The 26,689-nt window shown below is 46.9% G+C and overlaps 1 protein-coding gene and 1 pseudogene across 12 annotated transcripts in view, besides 2 other annotated features; both read right to left on the bottom strand.

The window, feature by feature from the left end:
- Positions 1 to 26,689, bottom strand: part of DGLUCY (D-glutamate cyclase) — a 165,300-nt gene that overhangs the window by 110,228 nt on the left and 28,383 nt on the right. For 4 of the 12 annotated variants that reach the window (NM_001286472.2, NM_001102369.3, NM_001102368.3 and 1 more), the window contains exon 1: positions 1,122 to 1,332. The exons of 3 other annotated variants lie outside the window; for them this stretch is intronic. The gene's annotated coding sequence lies outside the window, so the exon portion shown is untranslated. Of the gene's footprint in view, positions 1 to 183; positions 771 to 876; positions 1,333 to 26,689 lie in introns of those variants that run through there. 5 more of the 12 variants (NM_001286470.2, NM_001102366.3, NM_024952.8 and 2 more) reach the window with 3 other exon arrangements.
- Positions 453 to 512: an enhancer, noted in NCBI's record as "active region_8892". NCBI's record gives its function as "activates an Ori minimal core promoter by ATAC-STARR-seq in GM12878 lymphoblastoid cells {active_cell/tissue: GM12878}" and the evidence as "EXISTENCE:reporter gene assay evidence [ECO:0000049][PMID:35858748]".
- Positions 973 to 1,885: an enhancer, noted in NCBI's record as "NANOG-H3K27ac-H3K4me1 hESC enhancer chr14:91579864-91580776 (GRCh37/hg19 assembly coordinates)". NCBI's record gives its function as "activates a minimal SCP1, AML or CMV promoter by ChIP-STARR-seq in naive H9 embryonic stem cells {active_cell/tissue: H9 hESC(naive)}" and the evidence as "EXISTENCE:reporter gene assay evidence [ECO:0000049][PMID:30033119]".
- Positions 24,269 to 24,329, bottom strand: RNU7-30P (RNA, U7 small nuclear 30 pseudogene; annotated as a pseudogene).

Genomic DNA, 26,689 nt, shown 5'->3' with positions numbered 1-26,689 from the left:
TATGTACAAGCCACAGTTTAGCCTTCTTTCAGTTAACTCCACCCTGCCCTGCCCTTCCCACCCATCACCTCCTTCCCCTTCCTGCTTCCTCAGCTTCACTCCACCCCTCCAGCCAAGTCAGCTTTCTTTCTTCTTCCTACTCTCGGCCTCTCCTTTCCTTCTTTTTAGCTCATACTCAGTTACCTTTAAAGCACAAAGCAGCTCTCGTCCCCTGCGTGCCAATCAATGCCAACATTCTTCCTGCCAACATAATCTCAACCTGCTGCCCTCCTCCAGCACTGGGATAATTTTTGCAATTTAGTGTGGTTCTCATGAAAGAAGGTGGGTTATAGCTAGCTCGATCTCCCGTAGTAAAAGAGGACAGAGGGGAAGTACAGATAATCCTAGAGAAGAGACCCCCGCAAAGTCACCTGGCTCTGCCTTTAGCCTTGGGTGGGTACACAGGTCCAAAGCACACCACTGCAGTCCCCTGTGCCATGTTGGTGTTGATGCTCCCAGAGGAGGCTGAGATGAGCTAACCAGTGGCCTGGAGAAAGACTTGGCGAGGATTTACAGAATTCTGCCTCCAGCCAACGCAGGGGTGATCAGCCTGGCCGCTACCTCATAGCCATCACTCACTCTTCAAAACAGGGAGGGACCTTTGGGCCCTGCAGGTATCCACGAAGCTCTGGCCTGTGTGCCTGCGGCAGCCCAGAACCCCTTCCCCAATTGCCACCTCGATTAGCTTTGTCACCTCATCCCCAGCAAGCCTGTGGCTCAAAGGCAGTTTCAGTTTTACTTTCTTTGCCTTCATGTGACCTGGGAGTTCTCAAGGGCAGTGACAAGGACTGAAAGGGCCTTGCAGGAGAGAGAACAGAGGAGAAACACTACCAATACCTGATATGTTCTGTCCTCAGGTGCTATCTGGCTTGAACCAAGCCTTGACTTTTCAAGGAGAGGAACAGCTGGGCCTCAGTGGAGAATTTCAGGAATTTTCTGCCTTGCTCACTGGTTTTGCCCTGCCATTGTCCTGGGGTGGGCTCCCAGAATACCCTTGGGCTCCTTAGGTGGGGCGGGGCAAGGTGGATACTGCCTGGGGCGGAGGGAGGGACTGTGCTGTGCTCTGTTCCCTTCTGACTTACTGTTTGTTTGGGGCGTCTGGACGAGGGCTACAAACAGTTCCTCCCTTTGTTTCCACGGCCTTGCAGAATGTGTGCTTCCCTCAAAAGGGCATAAAGGCCCCCTTTCTTCTGCTCTCCTGCGCCACGGGGGGTTGTTCTGCAGGGCTCGGGTCTACAAGCTGAGGCCAGCCCCAAGCGCTGACTGTAGCAGCTCCATCCGCTCCCACAGCCTGAGCTCACGTGGCCCATGCAGCAGCGTGGTCTCCTCGGCAGCTAGCCCGCCCCAGTTCTTAAAGCTGCAGAGCTGCTGGCAGCTGGCTGGACCCTGCAAGCCCAGTTCTCCCTGCAAGAGTTAACCTGCTCTCCCCGGCTCAACAGAGGGGTAATTTTGAAAAATCCTGATGCCTGGGTGACAGACCCAGAAATGCAGATGTAATTGATCTAGGGGTGTATGGCCTGGGCACTAAGGATTTTTGAAATCCCTCAAGTGATTCCAATGTGCAGCCGATCTGGTGAATCGCCATCTGTGCTGTACAAACTTCAGTGTGCACTGGGATCACTAGGGGATCCTGTGAAAGTGCAGGCTTGATCCAGAAGATCTAGGGTCAGGCAGAGATTCTGCATTTCTAAAAAGCTCCCACAAGATGCAGCTGCTGGTCCGTGGGCCACACTGTGAATAGCAAGGGTGATGTTTTGAGCTTGGATCTGCATTCTGCCACCCACATTTAGAGGTCTTGGTAAGTTTTTAGGCCTGTTTCCTCCTCACTTATCTTGCTTGGCTGCTCTGACGATTGACTGAGATAATAAGCATTATGCACTAGAACAGTATCAGCACTTAGAAAGTGCTCAAAAGATAGTAACTATGACCATGATTTTCTCCTGATCTGCTTCAAAGCCATCAGGACTTACCTTTGGACCCCATACAATTGACCCTTGGACAACGTGGAGCACTGAACCTCGTGCAGTCGAAAATTCTTGTATAACTTTTATTGTTGTTGTTATTTTGAGACAGAGTCTTGCTCTGTCACCCAGGCCGGAGTGCAGTGGCACGATCTCCGCTCACTGCAACCTCTGCCTCCCAGGTTCGAGCGATTCTTCTGCCTCAGCCTCCCCAGTAGCTGGGAATACAGGTGTGCGCCACCACGCCCAGCTAATTTTTGTATTTTTAGTAGAGATGGGGTTTCACCATGCTGGCTGGGCTGGTCTCGAGCGCCTGCCCTTGTGATCCGCCTGCCTCAGCCTCCCAAAGTGCTGGGATTACAGGCATGAGCTATCGCACCTGGCCTTTTTTTTTTTTTTTTTTTTTTTAGATGTAGTCTCACTCTGTTGCCCAGGCTGGGAGCAGTGGTGCGATCTTGGCTCACTGCAATCTCCGCCTCCTGGGTTCACGCCATTCTCCTGCCTCAGCCTCCTGAGTGCCACCACGCCTGGCTAATTTTTTGTATTTTTAGTAGAAACAGGGTTTCACCGTGTTAGCCAGGATGGTGTCAATCTCCTGACCTCGTGATCTGCCCGCCTCGGCCTCCCAAAGTGCTGGGATTACAGGTGTCAGCCACCGCTCCCAGCCTATTTTTTTTTTAATTTGTTCATTTTGGTTTTGGTTTTTTGTTTTTGCTTCTTTTTCTCTTTTGTTATCATGCATCTTGTTCCTTTTTTTTCTTTTTTTGGAAGTATTCAATAATGTTGGAATGAGTGAGTGAATGAATAAATGAAAGGGTTAAAGTGAAAAGTGAAAGATCTCTTTTATTATAGAATCAAAAACCCCATGTCATGCAGCCTCACCCACCCAGGGTGCCATCTCTGACCTGCTGGACCCTCAGGCAACGCTCTGCGAAGGTCCATAATGACCACAGCTACCCATCACGTGTGTTCTCCAGCCCCAGCTTTCCTGCAGAGCCCTGCTGTCTAAGTTGCTCTGTTTGGTGTCATGGTGTCATGTTTCCAGAGAATGAAATAGAATTAATCAAAAGGTAGTTGTTAAATTGAGGCCAGGCTCACAAAGGAGAGAGATCCCATCTGCCACCTGTTATGTTAAACTCTTTTTTTTTTTTTTTTGAGACAGAGTTTTGCTCTTGTTGCCCAGGCTGGAGTGTAATGGTGCGGTGTTGGCTCACCGCAATCTTCGCCTCCTGGGTTCAACTGATTCTCCTGCCTCAGCCTCCCGAGTAGCTGAGATTACAGGCATGTGCCACCACACTCAGCTAATTTTGTATTTTTTTTTTTTTTAGTAGTAGAGACGGGGTTGCTCCACGCTGGTCAGGCTGGTCTCGAACTCCCGACCTCAGGTGATCCGCCTGCCTCAGCCTCCCCAAGTGCTGGGATTACAGGCGTGAGCCACGGTGCCAGGCCATGTTAAGCTTTATTAGACAAGAGCCAAAAGGTGGAAACAAATTGTGTCTATCAACAGATGAGTAGGTAAACAACATGTGATACATACACACAGTAGAATACAATTCAGCCACAAAAAGGAATGAAATTCCTATACATGCTACAACATGGATGAAACTTGAAGGCTGTATGGTCTGAATGTTTGTATTCCTCCAAAATTCATGCATTGACATTTGTATGTTGAGCCCTAATGATGGCATTGAGGCCCCAAAGAACTGCCTTGTTTCTTCCACCTTGTGAGGACACAGCCAGAAGGCACCATCTATGAATCAGAAAGTAGGCCCTCGCTAAGATCTGAGAGTGATAGCCTAGTAAGTTTTTAAAAATATAAATAAAGGCTGGGCACAGTGACTCATGCCTGTAATCCCAGTACTTTGGGAGGCCAAGGTGGGTGGATCACAAGGTCAGGAGATTGAGACCATCCTGGTCAACATGGTGAAACCAGGTCTCTACTAAAAATACAAAAATTAGCTGGGTGTGGTAGTGTGCGCTTGTAATCCCAGCTACTTGGGAGGATGAGGCAGGAAAATCGCTTGAATCTGGAAGGCAGAGAGGTTGCAGTGAGCCGAGATGGTGCCACTGCACTCCAGCCTGGCCACCGAGTGAGACTCCATCTCAAAAAAAAATATATATATATATATAGATAGATATAGATATATAGATATATACACACACACACACACACACACACACACACACACACACACACACACATATATATAAATAAAAAGAAAAGGGGCCCTCGCCAAACATATTATCTACTGGCACCTTGATCCTGGACTTCCCAATCTCCGGAACAGTGAGAAATAAATTTCTGTTGTTTATAAGCCACCCTATTAATGGTATTTTGTTCTAGCAGCCTTAACAGACTGAGACAAAAACGTTAAGCCAACTGAAATCAGCCAGACACACAAAAAAATATTATACGATCTCGCTTATATGAAGTACCTGGAGTTAGGCAAATTCACAGAGACAAAAGTAGAACAGCAGCTACCAAAGGGTGGCAGAAGGAGAACGAGGAGTTACTGAAATGAAGAAGTTCTGGAGATGGTTAGTGATGATGGTGGCATACCATTGTGAATGTACTTAATGCCACCAAATTTTACACTTAAAAATGATTCAATTTTATGTTATGCATATTTTACTACAATGAAAAAACTTGATTAGAAACCCAAACTATTGGCCGGGCACAGTGGTTCACACCTGTAATCTCAAAACTTTGGGAGGTTGAGGCAGGCAGATTGCTTGAGGTCAGATCAGGAGTTCGAGACCAGCCTGGCCAACATGGAGTACCCTTGTCTCTACTAAAAATACAAAAATTATCCAGGCATGGTGGCGGGCGCCTGTAGTCCCAGCTACCAGGGAGGCTGAGGCATGAGAATCTCTCGAACCCTGGAGGCGGAGGTTGCAGTGAACTGAGATTGCACCACTGCACTCAAGCCTGGGTGACAGAGCGAGACTGACTCCAAAAAAAAAAAAAAAAAAAGAAAGAAAGAAAGAAAGAAAGAAAAACAAACCAAGCAGAGCTTGAAGGATTCCTTGACACCAAGCAGGGCTTGCAACATGCCCTAGCTTTTCCTTTTCCATTTTTTCTTAAGGCTTAAAGATGAGATGCAGAGCCTCAGAAGGTTAAACTGTGTGTATGGCCAGAGGTGCAAGGAATGTCAAATATTAATATTTACAGTTGGTTTCTTCAGTGGGTGAGATCCAGGCAAAATTGCTCAGGAAGAGAAATATTACAATATTCAGCTGGTGTCACAGTGTGCTTGGGAAGAGAAGCAATTGCTTGTGTCAAAAGAATGTAGAAGTATAATCAAGCTATTGTTTGCAATTGCTTAGCTGAAATGAGGCCCCCTCCAGGGGAAAAAAAGAAAAGAAATTAAACCTAGGTAACTATTGTATGCCAAGTAATCGTAGCTATTTAAAAGTTCAAAAAGAGAAGGCAATTGAAGGGATTCAGTGAGCCAACAGAAACAGGAACTCAAGATGTTTTTCCCAAAGAGGTTCCTCAACCTGAATTAGATATGAAAGCCTCCAGACATGGTCGGCTCTGACAATGGGGAATATTATGGACTGAATGTTTATATCCCCTCCAAATTCCTGTGTTGAAGCTCTAACCCACAATGTGATGGGTTCTGGAGATGGGTTTTTGGGAGGTAGTTAGGGTTACATGAGCTCATGAGCGTGAGGCCCTGGTCTGATGGGATCAGTACCTTTAGAGACCCCAGAGAGCTTCCTTTCTCTCTTTCTCTGCCCTGTGAGCACATAGTGATAAGGTGGCCATCTGGGAGCCAGGAAGAGGAACCTCATCAGAACCCAACCACCATATGTTCTGACCCACTTCTGCCTCAGGGAATTACCTCCGTGTTCCCTGCAGCCTGTAGCCACTAACTACCGCTGATGAAAATGTTGATCTAGGACCAAAGCCTGGGGCAGGGAGGGTTTCCTGTGACCTTTCTCATAAATCATACTGTCTTCATGGTGCCTGGTGGCACCCAGCCAGCCACTCTCCTTGACAGTGCCAGGCCCTCACTACCTTTCTTGAAAGGTGAAGCAACTTGTCCCCAGTCCTAGGAACACAGCGGCTCTTGAGTCCACGCTGCTGTTGGAGCAGAGGAAAGTCATGGTGCCTGTTGGAATGGAGCCCACCCAACAGGGAGTCTCCAGAAGCACAACTAGGCTTCAGTGCAAGGGTTCCAGGGTTTGCAGAGTTTTCAAAAGTATATTTCTCAGCCACAAATAATACCATTGTCACGGCAGCACTTCCTGTTTTGCAAAAATCAGTCATAATAAAAACAGAAAGAGGCACGAGGCCCGCATTCATTGTGTCTTTTCAGTTGTTTGGGAAATGATGAATTCTGGGGGTGGTTTAGAGACAGGCAAAGACCCATGAAAGGCAAGGAGCAGCCAGCTTTCCTTCCCATACCCCCTGTTCCTATACCATGGGCCTGGGGCATCACAATCCATTTCCTGACAGGTCCTTGCTCTCCGGTCCCTTTCTTCATCCTCCACATTGCTTCTAGACCAATCGTCCCCAATATTTTGGTTACATCATTTATTTGTTCAAGATCCTTCAAGGGGCTGGGAACGGTGGCTCATGCCTGTAATCCCAGCACTTTGGGAAGCCGAGGTTGGTAGATCCCCTGAGGTCAGGAGTTCAAGACCAGTCTGGCCAACATGGTGAAACCTCATCTCTACTGAAAATACAAAAATTAGCCGGGCATGGTGGCACATGCCTGTAGTCCCAACTACCAGGGAGGCTGAGGCAGGAGGATGCCTTGAACCTGAGATGTGAAGTTGCAGTGAGCCAAGATCATGCCACTGCACTCCAGCCTGGGTGACAGAGCAAAACTCTGTCTCTCTCTCTCTCTCTCTCTCTCTCTCTCTCTCACACACACACACACACACACACACACACACACACACACAAATTCTTCAAGGGCCTTTCCAGTGACCACAGAGTCAAGTCTAAAGACTTAGACGGCCCTCCTCTAGGGACTGTGAACTTACTGACACAGACTCTGCTCCAAGGGCAGAAACTAGGGTGAAACTAGTGCAAAGTTTAAGGGAGCACCAAACAACTCAGTAACCAATATGAGTGCTAATTTTTTTAAAATCAAAGTTACCACAAAAATTCCATGATGAACCCAGTACCAAAATTTTAAACGAGGACAGGGACTGACCCTACACTTGTACGCTCGACTCCCACCTGGCCCTATTGCTTCCTCACTGAGCTAATCAGCCAGTCGACTCCTTGTTTCCAGAACCACGAAGACACTTCCACCTGCACACATTTGCTCCAACTGCCTTCTCCCCCGGCACCCCACAGAAGACCAACCCCGCTCCTCTGCTCACCAGAGCCTTTTTCTCTTCCTGCTCTCATCTGCGTCACAAACCCTTCCCTTTGCTCTCGCTTCTCTGAGCTCCTCTCATTCTTATTGCCTTTCAAGGGCTTCAGGCTTCCTTGGCAGCAGCACCTGGCAAGCACAAAGCTCACTCCCTGATCTCCACATCTTTGCTCCAAGGCCGCATCCTCAGTGAGGCCTGGCCTGGCACCCTCCATAAAGTAGCTCCCTGTCTCGTGTCTCCCACCCCCGCCAGCTCCTCATCCCTCTGGACCTGCTTTAGTTTTCACAGCACTTATCGCCATCTGATATACCATTCCATTGTTTTCTCTCTAGCTATTCTCCATCTCCCTGCTCTGGAATCTAAGCTTCACAAGAGCAGGTCTTCATGTCTGCCTGTTCATGGCTGAGTTCCAGAGCTTCCAACAGAGCCTGACACATGGCATAGAGTCAGTAAACATGTGTCAAACAGAATCTCTTCACACTCACTCTTAGCTGCAATCTCAATATATCAAGCAGATAAATGAAGGGTTTTTATTTTTTTATTTTTTTTTGAGATGGAGTCTCACTCTGTTGCCCAGGCTGGAGTGCAGTGGCGCGATCTCAGCTCACTGCAACCTCTGCCTCCTGGGTTCAAGCGATTCTCCTGCCTCAGCCTCCCAAGTAGCTGGGATTACAGGTGTGAGCCACCACCCCGGCAAATTTTTGTATTTTTAGTAGAGACAGGGTTTCACCACGTTGGCCAGGCTGGTCTCGAACTCCCGACCTCAGATGATCCACCCGCCTCAGCTTGCCAAAGTGCCGGGATTACAGGTGTGAGCCACCACACCTAGCGAAATGAAGGGTTTTTAGTTAGTGTGAAATAAGACATGAGAACATATAAGAACATTACATGTTCAAATGTATATGATTACTTAGAAAGGCAGCCAAATGAAATGTTTTAGCTCGCTTGTACATAAAAATTTGAAAATTGATGCTATGGACATTTGTGGACATCAGGCACCATCTCCTAGCATCCTCATTTCACTCTAAATTTGCATTTTTCTTTGCACAAACTCAAGAGAATCTTGATTCACTCAAATAAGCAATTGCAAACTGTAACTGTTTAAAAACCAAAACTTTAAATGGATGAATTGTATGGGATGTGGATTATATCTCAATAAAGCTGTCAAAAAATAGTTTCTCTTGCAACTTTTATCTGGGTGAATCAAGATTTTCCTTTATTAAACAGAGAGGGAAGCAGACACTTCATTACAGCCTGGACAAAAATCTATTAACCTGAAACAGAACTTAATGTGTTGATGATCTCCACTGTTTTGAAATTTCGCCTTCAATACATTCATAAGTGAGTTTTTTTTTTTTTTTGAGACAGAGTCTCGCTTTGTTGCCCAGGCTGGAGTGCAGTGGAGCAATCTGGGCTCACTGCAACCTCCACTTCCCAGGTTCAAGGGATTCTCATGCCTCAGCCTCCCGCGTAGCTGGGATTACAGGTGCACATCACCATGCCTGGCTAATTTTTGTATTTTTAGTAGAGACGGGGTTTCACTATGTTGGCCAGGCTGGTCGCAAACTTCTGACCTCAGATGATCTGCCCGCCTCGGCCTCCCAAAGGGCTGAGATTATAGGCATGAGCTACTGTGCCTGGCCAAACTTAGTTTTTTAAACTACAGTTTTAAAATACAGTCATGTGCCATATAATGACAATTCAGTTAATGACAGACTGTATATACAACAGTGGTCCATAAGTTTTTTGGGGGGGGGTAGGGAATGGAGTTTCTCTCTTGTTGCCCAGGCTGCAGTGCAATGGCAGATCTTGGCTCACTGTAACCTCCACCTCCCGGGTTCGAGCGATTCTCCTGCCTCAGCCTCCCCAGCAGCTGGGATTACAGGCGCACGTCACCATGCCGGGCTAATTTTTATATTTTTAGTAGAAACGGGCTTTCACCATGTTGGCCAGGCTGGTCTCAAACTCCTGACCTCAGGTGATCCATCCGCCTCAGCCTCCCAAAGTGCTGGGATTACAGGCATGAGCCATCACACCTGGCCCCATAAGGTTATAATGCCGTATTTTTACTGTAGCTTTTCTAGGTTTAGATATGTTTAGGTACACAAATGCTTATCACTGTGTTACAATTGCTTACAGTAGCAACTGTAACACAGTCACATGCTGTACAGGTTTGTGGCCCAGGAGTAATAGACCATATCATATAGCCTAGATGTGTCGTAGCCTATGCCACCCAGGTTTGTGTAAGCACAGTCTATGACGTTTACACAATGATGAAATTTCCTAATCATGCCTTTCTCAGAACTTATCCTTATTGTTAAGTCAGGAGTCTGACTGTAGTTTAAAACATACTTTAAAACAGAAATTGGAATTCAAAAGTTTGAGGACGCCCCTTGAAGTGTCTCTGAAGAATGAGTTTCATAGCATGCTATTTGGCAACTACTGGTCTCTTAATAATTGGGCACCTATTATAGCTGCCTGACTTTTCCACATATTCCTCTATGTTGCTCTCCTGTTTATTCACCATAGGCAAGCTCTCTGGAGCAGAAATCCTGCTTTGCACGTCAGGAAAAAAACTTAGTACCAGGCCTGGCACAGGGCTCATGGTCAGCTAGTGGTTTGTTCTTGCTGTCATTTCAATGAAATAGAATTAAACACCTGTCTCGATGTGATCTGGTGAGTCCTCAGCACCTGTTCTTGAGTTGTCTGGTGAAAAGTAAAATGATAATGCATTTTTTTTTCTTTTTTTGTGTGAGATGGAGTCTCACTCTGTCACCCAGGCTGGAGTGCAGTGGTGAGATTTTGGCTCACTGCAACGTTCACCTCCTAGGTTCAAGCAGTTCTCCTGTCTCAGCCTCCTAAGTAGTGGGGATTACAGGCATGCACCACCATGTCCAGCTAATTTTTGTATTTTTAGTAGAGACAGGGTTTCAACATGTTGGCCAGGCTGGTCTCAAACTCTTGACCTCGTGTGATCCTCCCAACTCAGCTTCCCAAAGTGCTGGGATTATAGGCGTGAGCTACAATGCCCAGCCAGTAATGCAATTTTTATGTAATAGAAGTTATAAATAAAAATAACAGCTAATATGAATTAAACTCTGCGTCATAAGATGCACTTGGATTTCCTCATTCAGTTATCACAACTCTATGCAGTAAGTGCTGTTATACCCCCATTTCACCAAAGAAAAAACTGAGGCTGCCAGATCACAAAGGAGAAATTGTGGCTATAGACAACAGCAGGGAAGCTGAGAGCTGGGACTCCAACCAGGTAGTCAGACTCCAGAGCCAGCTTAGAAATGATCTGAAGCCACTGGACAGGCCAATTTGGAAGACAAAGGAAAGAGAAATCCGAGAGCCCAGGACGGAGTCAGGCAGAGGAGGAACCTGCAAAGGAATGGCCACTGGACAGGAGGAAAACCAGAAGAGAGAAGTGTTTCATGGAAACCAAGAGAGATGAGCTAGGTGTGATGAGTGTGGAAAGTCGTTTCTCAAACTTGGCATCAAGGACGCTCTTGGTAACCTTGACAAGAGCAGCCCCTACATCCAGGTTTCTCAACTGTGACACTACTGACATTTGGGGCCAGATAATTCCATGTTGTGGGGGGCTGTCCTATGCATTGTAGATGTTCAGCAGTATCCCTGGCCTCTGCTCACTTGATGCTGGTAGCAACACCCTTCCCCAGTTGCAACAATAAAGAATGTTCTCGGCCGGGCGCGGTGGCTCACGCCTGTAATCCCAGCACTTTGGGAGGCCGAGGAGGGCGGATCACGAGGTCAGGAGATCGAGACTATCCTGGCTAACACGGTGAAACCCCGTCTCTACTAAAAATACAAAAAATTAGCCGGGCGTGGTGGCGGGTGCCTGTAGTCCCAGCTACTCAGGAGGCTGAGGCAGGAGAATGGTGTGAACCCGGGAGGCGGAGCTTGCAGTGAGCCGAGATCGCACCACTGCACTCCAGCCTGGGCAACAGAGCAAGACTCTGTCTCAAAAAAAAAAAAAAAAAAAGAATGTTTTCAAACACTGCCCTAGATGTCCCCAGGTACAAAATCATCCTAGGTTGAGCACTACTGCTCTGCAGAGTGGTGGGCGGAAGCCAAATTGGAGTAGGCAGAGGAGGGAATGGGAGGCAAGGGAGAGGAGAAAGCTTCCACAGACATGCGCAGAAGTGGGAGCTGGAGGTGGGGGCGGGGACAAGGGAATGTTGTTCTAAAACTTTCATGTATGTGTGTGTATATATATGTGTGTGTGTGTGTGTTTCATATATGTGTTTGTGTGTGCGTGTGTGTTTATATATATGATAAGAGATAGCAGAGAAGGACTGTAGGTTGATGGCAATGACACAGGAGAGAGTGAACGTTTGCTGATTTGCTGATGAAGGAGAGAGATATATAAAGAGAGAAAGACAGAAACAGCAGGTGTGAATTTCTGGGGTAGGCAACAAGAAATGGGATCCAGACTACAAGTTGCGCGATTTGCCTTTGCAGGAGTAGAGACATTTGCTCTGGTATAAGAGAAGGAAGAGAGGCCCTATGCAGAAGTAGATGTAGGAAGGCGTGTGTATTTGGTGATGGGGAGAGGAGGGAGCTCCCATCTGTTGGCTTCTATTTTCCCAGCCAAGCCTGCGACAGGGTCATCGGCAGAGCTGGGATGGAGACGGAGGAGGAGGGAGGAAAAGGCACAGAATTCTTATCTTGGAGTGCAGCAAAGCAGGCTAAAAGGAGAAGGGGGAAGGATTGCTAGGCCGTGTTGATAGCCCATTTGCAGTCTGAGGCCAGGAATTTGAAATGAGGCCAGCCCATGTGGTGTGAGAATTTTCTCTGGCAACTTCATCTGCTCTGGGAGCAGCATGGAGTGCGTGGATGAAGCCTCGGTGACTGGCAGCAGCTCCCCAGGCAGCCTACGGGAGCAGGGTCCTCATTAAGGACCAATCATTAAGTTGCTCTCCCTTGGGCCTGAGAGAAACATGGGGGTATCTTTGCACTTTCAAGATCAAGAACGGAGGGGGTGCCGGGCACGGTGGCTCACACCTGTAATCCCAGCACATTGGGAGGCTGAGACAGGCGGATCATTTGAGGTCAGGAGTTCGAGACCAGCCTTGCCAACATGGTGAAATCCCATCTCTACTAAAAATACAAAAATTAGCCAGTCATGATGGGGGGTACCTGCAATCCCAGCTACTTGGGAGGCTGAGGCAGGAGAATTGCTTGTACCTGGGAGGCGAAGGTTGCAGTGAACCGAGATCACGCCACTGCTGGGTGATAGAGCGAGACTCAGTCTCAAACACACACACACACACACACACACACACACACACACACACACATACACACTGGAAGGGGTCCCAGCAGCATCCTCCAATCCCCAGAAGCAGATGCACAAATCTGCTAGAGCACATGCAATTCCCCATATCCATGCCCTGTAGAGCCTGTGAGCCCCTATTTTACCCTACCAAGAAGAAAACCAAAGTTTGCTGACATTCCACAGTCTCTCCGTGGACACCACTGCTCCTCTGCCATTCACATCTGCCTCTACCCTCAATGCCACTTTCCTTTTGGCTCCCATCGACAGTCCCGGGGCCGGAGGAGGAGGGGGTGGCAGCAGGTATGAGCAATGAGACCAGGTGGAAATCAACATGGAAAATTCTAGACATTATGATCTGCTTGTCTTAAAATGAGGGAAGTTCACTATTGGACATGAGACAAAAGGACACTTTCTCGAGAAGGATTTAAATTCACCCTAATACTGGACTTCATCCATCGCCTCACAGAGAACTTAGGAGTAAGACATTCCAGAAGCCTTGAACACTGATCACTTCATTGGAGCCTGAAAGTCAAATTAGAAAATCTCTGGTGATTTATTTTTTAAAACTATATTCACTTATTTAATATTTTTATGGTTTTTAATTTATTGATACATAGTAGATATACATATTTTCGAGGCATATGTGATAATTTGATACATTCATATAGTCAAATCAAGGTAACTGAGATATCTACCACTTTAAATATTTATCTCTTCTTTATGCCAGGAACATTTGAATTATTCTCTTCTGGCTCTTTTGAGATCTACACTAAGGCCAGGCATAGTGGTTCACGCCTCTAATTTCAACACTTTGGGAGGCCAAGGTGGGAGGATTGCTTGAGCCCAGGAGTTTCAGACCAGCCTGAGCAACATAGTAAGACCCCATCTCTAAAAAAATAAAAAATTAGCTGGACATGGTGGCACACATCTGTGGTTCCAGCCACTTGAGAGGCTGAAATGGGAGGATCGCTTGAAGCTGCAGTGAACTGTGATCATGCCACTGCATTCCAGCCTGGGTAACAGAGCAAGATCCTGTCCTCCCCAGAAAGACATGTACAATAGATTGATGTTAGTATAGTTACCCCATTGATCTATCAAATATCTGATGACTTACTTTGACTCAACTCAAGAATGCGTCCATAAGCCAATTTTATGATTTGTGTGGCATTTGGAACATCCCTGAAGTGTTAGGGTGTGACCAGCAGCAAAGGAGTGCACGACTTCCAACGTCCTGGTGGAAATGTCATATCATTGTAAGGGCATCAGGGATGCCTGCTTTCTGAGCATCTCCACAGTGTGGCAGCTGGCCAGGCTATCGCCAAGAGGTGGCCTAACCTCACACAGGGGCTCTCAAATGAAGTGAAAAAGACAAATAGCGCATGATTCCACTTACATAAGGTTTCTAAAAGAGTCAAATTTAGATAATCCAGTAGTAGATTGATGGTTGCTAGGGGTCGGGGAGGGGGCTAAGGGTGAAGAGTGGGCTCCTAACCAAGGAGCATGAAGTTTCAGTTAAGCAAGATGAATAAGCTATAGAATCTTCTGCCCAGCGTTGTACCTATAGCCAACAATGATGTTAACATAGTTACCCCACTGATCTATCAAATATCTTTATTGACACCCATAAAACTTTGTTAAGAGGATAGATCTCATGTTAAATGTTCTTACCACAATAAAATAATTTTTTTTTTTTTGGAGATGGAGTCTCGCTCTGTTGCCCAGGCTGGGGTGGAGCAGCATGATCTCGGCTCACTGCAACCTCTGCCTCACGAGTTCAAGAGAGTCTCCTGCTTCAGCCTCCCGAGCAGCTGGGACCATAGGTGTGCGCCACCATGCCCAGCTAATTTTTGTATTTTTAGTAGAGACAGGGTTTTACCATGTTGGCCAGGCTGGTCTTGAACTCCTGGGCTCAAGTGATCCACCTGCCTCGGCTTCCCAAAGTGCTGGGATTACAGGCGTGAGCCACTGTGCCTGGCCAAAATAAAATTTGTAAAAAAAGAATTCACTGGAGAGCTTGTTAAAACACAGATTCCTAGATACTGTGGGTAAGGTCCCAAAATTAGCATTTCTCAGCTCCCCAGGAGGCTGGTGCTGCTGGTCTGGGGACCACACCTTATTACCACAGTGGAAGAAGATGGGATGCTGTCAGGTTGGAGTTTGAATTCCAGCCTCATCCAGCTTTGCAAGCTTGAGCAAGTGATGTCAATGCTCACCTGTAAAATGGAATCAGAGTATGGTACACCTTGAGAAGTTGTTTTGGAAATCAGAGAGAAGTCACGTTAAGTCCAAGGTCCTAAGTAGGTGCCCAGTAAAAGAAAGCAGTTGCTATTTTTGTCACCATTTTAACACACCTCCACAACTCACAGCTGTTTGGATTAGGCATTCAAGACAAGCATTGACTTAGCCTCAAAAGTCGTGAGGAGGTTACTGAATTGGTAATCTCTCCACCCTCTCTTCCTCCTCTTCTGAACACCCAGGCACCAAAATAGCCCCTAACACCCACCAATGCACTGCCAGCGATGACATTTCTAAGCGGAGGAGATAACTGATCACTTTCAAATTCTGTAATATTTTAAGTACATTATCTTTGAAATCTGGGTCAGGATGAATATTGAACTTGGGCTCATCAAATGTTAAAGCTGAAAGGAAACTTCGAAACCATCTAATTTTCTTTTCTTTTCTTCTTCTTCTTTTTTTTTTTTTTTTTTTTGAGACAGAGTTTCACTCTTGTTGCCCAGGCTGGAGTGTAATGGCGTGATCTTGGCTCACCGCAACCTATTGCCTCCCGGGTTCAAGCAATTCTCCCGCCTCAGCTTTCTGAGTAGCTGGGATTACAGGCATGTGCCACCATGCCCGGCTAATTTTGTAGAAACCATCTAATTTTCTAGTTAAAGGTGAGGATGTCGAAGGTGAGGAAACTGAGACCTAGGGAGGGGTAGCAACTTGCCCAAGGTGGCACAGCAAGTCCAAGGGCAAGGGCAGAACTGGAAACCATGTGTGCTGCCTGCTGGCCCTGGCTCAGACTTTCACAGCCTGATTCTCAGCCCAACTGACCCAAAATGCTATGCTTTCCTAAATAAAACTGCAGATCCCCTGGGTTGGTGGGGATACCCAGAACTGAGTGGGAATAATTCTCATTCTATGGTGATATTCACCTAAGGGAACAGATCAGAATCTCTAAGAAAAAAAGGGAGATTTTTATGCTTATCAGCGAAGGGCATTTTTTTTTTTTTTTTTGAGATTGGGTCTCTGTCGCCTAGGCTGGAGTACAGTGGTGCGATCGCAGCTCACTGCAGCCTCAACCTTCTGGGCTCAAACAATCCTCCCACTTCGGCCTCTCCAGTAGCTGGGACTACATGTTTATGCTCCCATGCCTGGCTAATTTTTGTATTTTTTGTAGAGACGGGGTTTCACCATGTTGGCCAGGCTGGTCTCGAGCTCCTGACCTCAAGTGATCTGCCTGCCTCGGCCTCCCAAAGTATTGGGATTATAGGCATGAGTCACCGTGCCTGGCCAGTGAAGGGCATTTGTTTAAAAGTGTTTGGAAACTCTGACCCCACACCATGTGACCTCCTTTCTTAAACTGCTGTTCTCTTCAGTAGGTTAGGAAGTAGTCCCATTTGTTGGCCTTAATTCTTCTAAAGCTACCTCCTGCATCAAGCAGCCTCCTTTCTTCGGCTCTTCATCTTCTCTCATTCTCCTTACACTGTATCCCAAATGCAGAGAGAGCTTGCTCTGTGCCTAGAGCAGAACAGACATCTTTTACCTTTACTTAACTCATCAAGATAAATAAGCTAAAGACCTACATGCATTAAATTTTCTTTTATTCCATTATTTTCCACTATTCAATCAGCCAATATTTATAGGAGCCTATTACTTGCTAAGCATTCATTAACTGTTGCTGCGCTTACAAGGAAAGTCCCTTACTCTCATTCCATAAATATGTACTGAGTGTACCGAGGATGTGCTGGCCATGGGCCACATGGGTTATTCAATGATCAACAAGGTAACACAATCCCTGTCCTCATAGAGTATCGAGTCTGCCTTCTAAGAAATGACATCTTTTTGGCAAGAGGACAGGCCTGCAGCAGTGGTCAGGATGAGGCAGGTACTCATCCTGAGGCTGGAGGTGGCTCACACAAGCTTGTGGGAGCTGAGTGTTAAATTTTTGGGAAGTTTGTGAGCCAGTTGTTAAATACAGCCATTATTAGAAATTAAATCATATAAACATAATTTAATAAGTTATATTAAAAAGCAAAGGTAATACACACTCAAAGCTCATCACCTAATTATTTTATTTTTTATTTTTGAGACAGAGTCTTACTCTGTCACCCAGGCTGGGAGTGCAGTGGTGCCAACACAGCTCACTACAGCCTTGACCTCAAGCTCAAGCAATCCTCCTGCCTCAGCCTCCTGAGTAGCTGGGACTTACAGATGCGCACCATCATGCTTGGCTGATTTTTGGTTTTGTTTTAGAGATAAGGTCCCACCATGTTGCCCAGGCTGGTCTCTAACTCCTGGGCTCAAGTGATCCTCCTGCCTCAGCCTTCTGAAGTGCTGGGATTATAGGCATGAGCTATGAACTATGGTTCCCAGCCACTTCCTAATTATTTTCTGATGTTTTACTATCATCTCTGCTGTTAGGGTCCTTTACATCTATATGGTAGAAATGCTACATAATGGTGGCCTGTGGGGCATTTCCTAGCTCTGCATTCAGTGCCATCAGGCTAACAGCTTGGCATTGGCTGTAGTGGGGAATATTTATATTATGAACATTGGCAAATGCTACAAACTAGGATTTTTTTCTCTTTTTCTTCCAGAAAGCTGGTTGTTAAACATTTACTAAAACACCACTGGATACAAGTGACATCATACAAGGTAGGAGGAGTCAAATGAGTAATTAACATTTGGAGGAGGAGGCAAAATTAGCTGGGCGTGGTGGCACACGCCTGTAATCCCAGCTACCAGGGAGGCTGAAGCAGAAGAATTGCTTGAACCCAGGAGATGGAGGTTGCAGTGAGCCAAGATCACGCCATTGCACTCCAGCCTGGGCAACAAGAGCGAAACTCCGTCTCAAAAAAAAAAAAAAGGGAGGGGAGGGGGTCCTTGATCGCCAAGTAGAGAGAGACATGGGGTCAAGGTGAGGGTGGGCAAGCTGTCTACAAGCCTGCCTTGTGGGGACTGTCTGTGTTGAACTGTTTTTGGAGGGAAACATGAGGCTTAACAAATAGCTTTATTGAGATTTATTTCTCAAACATACACATTCACCTAAAGTGTATAACTCAATAATTTTTTGCATATTCATGGAACTTTGCAACCTCACCACAATTTTAAAACATTTTCTTTGCTTTTTTTGTTTTTGTTTTTTTTGAGACAGTGTCTCGCTCTGTCACCCAAGCTGGAGTCCAGTGAGGCAATCACAGTTCACTGCAACCTCCACCTCCTGGCCTCAAGCAACCCTCTCACCTCAGCCTCCCAAGTAGCTGGGACCACAGGCACGTGTCACACCCAGCTAATTTTTGTATTTTTTCGGTATAGACAGGGTTTCACCATATTGCCCAGGCTGGTCTTGAACTCTTGGACTCAAGCAGTCTTCCTGCTTTGAACTCCTAAAGTGCTGGGATTACAGGCGTGAGCCACTGCCCCCAGCCTAAAACTTTTCATCACCCCAAAAGAAACTCCCAGACCTGTTAGCAGTCACTCCCCATTTACGCCAATCTCTTTTTTCTCCAGCCCAAGGCAACCACCACCAGTCTATTTTTTGCTTCTATAGATTTAAGGCTATTTTTTTAAGCTGACACAGAAATCTGAAATTGTATGAGTTAATCTTGGAGAGTGTTTCATGGGCAGCATGCCCTGTGCCAACCCAGCAATTTCTCCAATTTTCCCAGTGCGAGCTCAGTAAAATTGCCTCTTGACTACAGCTGACCCACTCCCTCTCAGTGGGCCAACTTGTTCCCTACCCTGGGAAGGATCAAGGGAGAAAAATTCCTACAGGTGAGCTGAGTGGTCAGCCTCAGGCTGAATGTACACGCTGAAACCTTGGTAGGTGCAGAAGTCGGAGGAACAAGCCAGGGGGGTGGGCAGGGGAAGGCACTCAGCTGAACATGGGCCTAAGTGCGAGAGTGGACCCCGACACTCTAAGGGCAGACAAGCCTCTCTGGAGAACTGTGCTGTGGTCAGTCCCCAGGCAATTTCAAGAAAAGTCACAACCTGTATAGCTGTACAAACTCCTCCATCCGTTACTGACTTGGCCCCAGGAGGAGTCACCAGTGAGAGGGTCGCACTCCCCAATTTTCAATAATGCATCTCCCTGCTGGTTCTTCCTTCCCACCCCCGGCCCTGAGATGGAGTCTCGCTCTGTCACCCAGGCTGGAGTGCAGTGGCACAATCTTGGCTCACTGCAACCTCCGCCTCCCAGCTTCAAGCAATCAAGCGATTCTCCTGCCTCAGCCTCCCAAGTAGCTGGGATTATAGGTGCGCATCACCACACCTGGCTAATTTTTGTATTTTTAGTAGAAACGGGGTTTTGCCATGTTGGCCAGGTTGGTCTCGAACTCCTGACCTCAGGTGATCTGCCTGCCTCAGCCTCCCAAAGTGCCACCGCGCCCAGCCTCCCTACTGGTTCAATTGGCCACTTGTGCAATACAAAGTGAGGAGATGACAAAGACCCCCACCTATCTCAAAACATTCCCACTACCAAATACTAGCATCTGAAATCCTTGTCATTCCTTTGAGTTATACCATTATCCCCAGAGGCCATGAGTGAAATTCTTGTTATAGGGGATTGGAAGTGGGTGGAAGGGCACTAGCACCTGGCTCAGGTCAGCAAGACTTTACCTTGGAAAGCAGGGGCTGGACTCTGCATGCGGTGGGACACTGAAGATGTGAGCTTTGGATTGAGGCAGTGATGGTCTAGATGACAAAGATATAGAAGATGTGTTTTGGGGAAAGGTGGGCCCAGACGGAAAGCTGGGGAGGGAGGGGTGGGCCAACGGAGAGTACCACTGAAGAGGTGTATAAAGGAGAGCTGCCATTTTTCTCCCCCCATTTGCAGAGTCTTCTTCCACTCCATCTTTCTCTCTTCCCATCCCACACTATAAATAATTGCAAGTCTTTGTTCTTTGCCTTGGGAATAGCTTCTCCAGCTGTTGCCACATTTCTGAACCGAATAAAGCATCTCTTTTGAAATCCACAAAAGAAACAGATTGAACTATGGTGTATTCTTTTTAAGAGGCTTGACTCTACCAGGAAAAAAAAGCTCCCTTACCAAAGAAAGAACATGGAGTGCACGTCATAGCCACTTGCCTTCACGTGTAAAGATGCGGTGACAAGCACCCTTATTCTTAGCCACTGGCCTTGTGGCAGGAAGCGAGCCAGGCAAGGACAGGGCACAGGCAGAGTGGCAGCCTCTGCCGACCCTGAGAACCAGCCTCCTCCTCCCTCCTGGTGCCCCTAGGAATCAGCATATCCCAACCATGACTCCTAGAAGTTCTTCAGGAACAGGTGGACTAATTTCTCAGCAATAGTCACTGTTTTTGTGATATGAAGGAAAGCGGTTCTAGAAGGCAGGACCGCCGAGGATGGACATCTGCTCTGCTGCTGCTAAGAAGAAAAGCAAGTGGGCACATGGTCTGCTTTCAGGGGCAAATGAACTGGGGGGGCAGGGGGAATTTCTCATGGGTGCTGTCTCATGACCAGAGGAGACGGCTAGAGTTTTGTGTGGCTAGGAGAGGTGACCAGCTGCTGGAGGGCAGCTGCTGCTTTAGATCACCCATGCCTGGACCCAGAGCGAGCAGGTTCCATTCATCACAGCTTGTGTTGGATCCTTTTACAAAGTGGTATATCCTTAATATAGATGTCCACAGGCTGATGACAGCCCTGTCTCATGAGATCATGGCTTGAGTTCTCACTCGAGGCCTGAAGACTTTTTTTTTTTTTTGAGAGAGAGTTTTGCTCTTGTCACCCAGGCTAGGGTGCAATGGCGAGATCTTGGCTCACTGCAACCTCTACTTCCCAGGTTCAAGTGATTCTCCTGCCTCAGCCTCCCGAGTAGCTGGGATTACAGGTGCCCATCACCACACCCAGCTAATTTCTGTATTTTTAGTAGAGATGGGGTTTCACCATGTTGGCCAGACTGGTCTCGAACTCCTGACCTCAGCCTCCCAAAGTGCTGGGATTATAGGAGTGAGCCATTGCGCCTGACCCAGGCCTGAAGACATTCTGAAGCACTCCCACCCATGTCTACAGGCTCCCAGCTTCTGTCTGCATGGTCACCTCTGCCTCTGGGATCCTGTTTCCACATGGGCTGTAGTTGCTTTTTTTTTTTTGGGGACAGAGTCTCGCTCGGTCGCCCAGGCTAGAGTGCAGTGGCATGATCTTGGCTCACTGCAACCTCCACCTCCCGGGTTCAAGCGATTATCCTGCCTCAGCCTCCTGAGTAGCTGGGATTACAGGCACCTGCCACCGCACCCGGCTAATTTTTCTATTTTTAGTAGAGACAGGGTTTCACCATATTGGCTAGGCTGGTCTCGAACTCCTGACCTCATGATTCACCCACCTCAGCCTCCCAAAGTGCTGGGATTATAGGCGTGAGCTACCGTGCCCAGCCTGTAGTTGCTCTTTTTGACTTTTGTTGTAAATTGTGGTAAAATGCACATAACATAAGATGCACTCGTTTTCAAGCGTACAATTTAGTGGTATTAAGTATCTGCATAGTGTTGGGCAACTATCAGCATTATCTAGTTCCAGAACTTTTCATCACCCCACATGGAAACCCTATACCTGTTAAGCAGTCACTTCTCATTCCACAGATCCAGTCCCTGCAACCACTGATCTGCCTCCTCCCTCTATGGCGTCACCTGTTTGGAACATTTCATGTAAATGGAACCATACAAGATGTGACCTTTTGTGACTGGCTTCTCTCACTTGGCATAATGGTCTTCTGTTTGTTTGTTTGTTTGTTTGTTTTGTTGCTCTGTCACCCAGGCTAGAGTGCAGTGGCTCCATCTCAGTTCACCGTGACCTCCGTCTCCTGGGTTCAAGGAATTCTCATGCCTCAGCCTCCCAAGAAGCTGGGATTACAGGCATGCACCAACACAATTGGTTCACTTTTGTATTTTTAGTAGAGATAGGGTTTTGCCATGTTGGCCAGCTGGTCTCAAACTCCTGGTCTCAAGCAATCCACCCACCTTGGCCTCAAGCAATCCACCCACTTTGGCTTCCCAAAGTGCTGGGATTACAGGCATGAACCACCATGCCCAGGTAGCATAATGTTTTGAGGTTCATTCATATTGCTGCATGGATCAGTCTTCAATTCCTTTTTATAGCTAGATAATATTCCATTTCATGGATCTACCACATTTCGCTTCTCTGCTGGTGCTGTTTTGTACCTCATCTACCCAAATACAAAACTTGCATTTCCATTTCCACAACAATCCCTGCTCACAGTTTCCTCATGGGGATAATGATACTTCATCACATCCTGTAAGGGTTAAATAATACACAACATGTAAAGCGACCAAAAGCACCTAGCAACTAGTGCTCAATAATATATTATTAATTATTATATCATCATTATAGTCATTATGCAATCATTATGATCATATAAATTCCTCCAACCTCTTGTTTTCTGTTGTATCTATTCATTTGTTTCACAAATTATCTTTTTTTTTTTTTTTTTGAGACTGAGTTTCACTCTGTGGCCCAGGCTGGAGTGCAGTGGCACGATCTTGGCTCACTGCAACCTTTGTCTCCCGGATTCAAGTGAGTCTCCTGCCTCAGCCTCCCGAGTAGCTGGGACCATAGGCGCCTGCCACCATGCTCGGCTAATTTTTGTATTTTTAGTAGAGACAGGGTTTCACCATGTTGGCCAGGCTGGTCTTGAACTCCTGACCTCAGGTGATCCACCTGCCTCGGCCTCCCAAAATGGTGAGATTACAGGTGTGAGGCACTGCACTTGGCCCACAAAATATCTTAAATGCAATTATGGTTGGATAGCCGCAGAGAGATGTCTGGATTAGGTACTTGCAAGGATTATGTTGAATTGCATACTCCTTTGGTTCCCAATCTGGGGCCATGAAGCCATGAGATCTCTATTATACCGTTACAGCAAGGAGTTCATGAACCACAACTGCAGCAAGCATTTTCTAGCACTCAGTGGCTACCCTTTCTCTCCTACACATACAGGCACTACTGTTTCTCAAATGTGTGCAGTCTCTGTTGAGAATGAATAAAAGATAAGTCATATAAAATCCTTTTATCATCAAGTGTCTTCTCAATCTAACCAATACTCAAGATGCCACTTTTCTCATAGGGAGATCTTCATATTTGAGAAGATTAGAACCCACTAGCATACAGCAACACTAAAAGAAACCAAAACGATTCAACTCAGTATGGAAATCAAATGATTAACAAGAGTTTATTGAACACCTACTACAAGTTTGGTACTATTCTAAGCACCATGGTGGGGGAGTGTGGATATGAATATGCAGAAGATAGTTTCTGTCCTGCACACTCTGTAATTGGGAAGAGCAGCCGTAGGCCAGTACAGTAGTCAAGAATGTGTCAGCATAAGATCAAGCGTTAAATTAGTACTATGGCTAATACATGAAATTAACATGGGCTGAAGTCATCAGGAAAGGCTCCAAGGAAGAGTCTGGCTTGAAGCATAGGCATGTTTTTAAAGGGGCAGGGAGCTCCAGGTAGGTAGAGGCAGGAATGAGAAAGGAATCTTAGAGTATAGATATTGGCCTGCCTGGAGTCAAGGGTTTGATTTGGAAGACATGGTCAATTTCCGTGAGTAGGACATCAGAGGACAGAGCCCTAGAGGTGCAAGGATGACTGAGGGGCAGTCAAAAGCCACTGATGTTTTAGAGCAGAGGAGAGTTGAAGGAAGGCCGTGTCCCAAAATGCTCAGCCTGGCTGAGGCAGGAGAGTCTGTGTTCAGGGGACTTGGGTATGTTCATTCCCGGATACAGTCATTAAAGGGACTCCATAAGGGATGGAACAGGGGTCTCTGTACTTAGACTGATCTCTTACGACAGCACCTGGGCGTCTTTGCCCTCTATACCAACTATCTTCTGCCCCAAACATGCACATGTGAATTGTCCAGACAGGCTATGGACCTTTGTCCAGTTGTCAGAACTTTTTGCATTATTTCCACGTTCAGGAAAAGGCATATGCCCTCTGAGAACAGACAAATGGACAGAAGTTTTTATTTTTCATTTTATTTTTATTTCATTTATTTATTTATTTATTTTTGTCGCCCAGGCTGGAGTGTAGTGGCGTGATCTAGGCTCACTGCAACCTCTGCCACCCAGGTTCAAGCGATTCTCCTGCCTCAGCCTCCCAAGTAGCTGGGATTACAGGCACCTGCCACCGCGCCTGGCTAAGTTTTGTAGTTTTTAGTAAAGACGGGGTTTTACCATGTTGCCCAGGCTTGTCTTGAACTCCAGAGCTCAAGTGACCCACCCACCTCGGCCTCCCAAAGTGCTGAGATTACAGGCGTGAGCCACTGCGTCCGGCCGGAATTTTTTTTTGAGGGGGGCTTTCCAGAAGAGGAATTTATGGAGAGGAATGTATTGTATTATATATTGTATTGTATGGTATTGTATTGTATTTTTATTTGGGGCTTTTCAGTAAAGACCAGAAAACCTTCTAGACAAATTGTAAAAGAGTTGTAACACTGGACAGGGAATTTGCCAAGCTGGCTTAACAGATGTCTTCCCAATCCTCAACACTCCTTAAAGCAATAGCCCTTCAGGGGTAAAGTCCATGCTGACCACACCTTCCTCCCTCTCTTGCAGAGGGCAAAGGGTAGAAGACCAAGAGGCTGAGGTGTTTGGAGAAGCCAGGGAAATGGGTGGATTCGCCCTGCAGGATGCAGCCTCTGAGCTGTAGGATGCTCACCCACAGTCACCCTGGAAGATGGAGCCATCCCCACCCTCCCTGTGCACATTTGCTGGGAGTTTGACAGGGACAGTGGAGATGGAACAGCCAAGGCTCCACCAGATGTCTTAGGCATCTTCCTCAGTGTCTCCTTCTTCCCATCAGTCCTGGAGAACCTATCTGTGACCAAATAGGGTCAGAGGGGAGCTGGATCATGTACCCCAAGGCCACCAGTGGACTTTCCTGACATCAACAAGCTCCTGCTAGTGGCTCTTAGTTTGCTAACCAGGACAGAGCTCCCCTAGAGCCATGGCAGGAGGCAGAGCATCCCTGACCTTCATGACCAAACGCTGCCCAACCCTCAGGAACTCCCTGTTGTTTTCAGCCCAGATGAGGAAGGATGCTTATGGCCAAAGTCATGCAGGAGGCTGGGAGAAGGTTTTAAAAACTCACAGAGGATGTAGCTTGTGGGGCAGTGGCATCTAAAACAAAAAAAAAGAAACAGAGCATGTGGAGGCAAATTCACTGTCATTCAACAGGTACCCTCACCGCTCCTTTTTCTGGCTGAGGTCCAGGGAGAGTAAGTGGTCCTCACCGAGATCCATGACTGGGATGGAAGCCAGTTTACTTCCTCATCTGTGGGGGTTCCCCCATAAGAACCTGATGTAATTTCAGACCCTGTCTGGAACAAGGTGTTTTCCTCCCTGTGGCGGTGCAATGAAAGCGTGCTCAGCCAGTGAGGAGAGGGGAATGGGTTTTAGGGCAGGTGTTTCTGCAGCCGCCAGCCAGATACCTGCACAGTCAGATGTTTCCTCCTTCGTCAGGGCCCCACTTGTGCACCTCAGTAGAGGTGGACAGATTGTCCCATGATTGGATCAGTGGGTTGTATGTAGGGTGCATAGAGGTTTTGGCTTGTATGAGACCATTCCGGGTTACATCTGTTGTCCCAGAGTAATTACTAATAACGTCCCTTTTCATTATTTTCTTTATAAAAATTTTATTTTTAATTTTTGTGGGTACATAGTAGATGACCCTTTTCATGCTTTTTTTTTTTTTGAGACAGAGTCTCACTCTGTCACCCATGCTGGAGTGTAGTGGCGTGATCTCGGCTCACTGCAAGCTCTGCCTCCAGGGTTCAAGTGATTCTCCTGTATCAGCCTCCCAAGTAGCTGGGATTATAGGCATGCGCCACTATGCCTGGTTAATTTTTGTATTTTTAGTAGAGATGGGATTTCACATGTTGGCCAGGCTGGTCTCAAACTCCTGATCTCAAGTGTTCCGCTCGCCTCGGCCTCCCAAAGTGCTGGGATTACAGGTGCAAGCTACTGTGCCCGGCCACCCCTTTCATTCTTAAAATGTCTTAGTTTCGACAATAAATTGCTTGGTCACCCTAGTTTATAAGGCGACAGACTTACATAAAGCACGCAAAGCTGCTTAAGCCAAGAGAGGGTTTTATTGCCAGAACTACAGGAAAGTCAGACATGATGAGAACCAGAGACTCCCCTGAGGGGTCCCTCACCGTCTCTCCTGCTTCTTTCTGCCCTGTGGCTCTAGTTGCCTTTTCTCTCTGCACAGTCACCCTTTTCTTCCTGACAGAGCTGCCACCGGCTCCTGAGTTGGACATTTGGCAGTTTCCATCATCAAAAGAACCCTGACTTTCTCAGATGCAATCCACCAAAAATACCCAGGAAGAAACTTACTGTCCCATGGTGGGCAGGAGGGCAAGATGTTTCCAGAATCTTGCAGCTGTCTAGGGAACCATGATGAGAATGGAGGAAGAGGCAGTTTTTAGAAGGGGCAACTGGTGCGGAATGGACAATTCCTTCAGTGTCTGGTACAATCAGCATCAAGTATTTATTGAGTGGGCCCTGTGGCATTGATCTAACCACTAGCTTGTTAAATGTGTACCAGACCGAAGTCTATTCCCCTTTAGTTTCCACAGAGAGATGCCATTCATCCTGGGGACAGAGCTGGCCTTGGAACAGAAGAAAGGAACTTCCTTGCTTGGGAGGGCGGGGTCCCCAAGGAAAGATAGATGCTGCTTCCCAGAATACATGTGGCTTCAGGTTGGCAGCCTCCCGTCCCTGGGGGTGACTCTGGGTATGTACACATGTCTGTGTTCACAGGATCTGAAATGGCTCTGGGCCAGTAGGCCAAGGCA

Source organism: Homo sapiens, chromosome 14 (assembly GCF_000001405.40).
Source record: "Homo sapiens chromosome 14, GRCh38.p14 Primary Assembly".
NCBI lineage: Eukaryota > Metazoa > Chordata > Mammalia > Primates > Hominidae > Homo > Homo sapiens.
The sequence above is the reverse complement of the archived record's forward strand: the minus strand, read 5'-3'. Positions and strand labels throughout refer to the sequence as shown.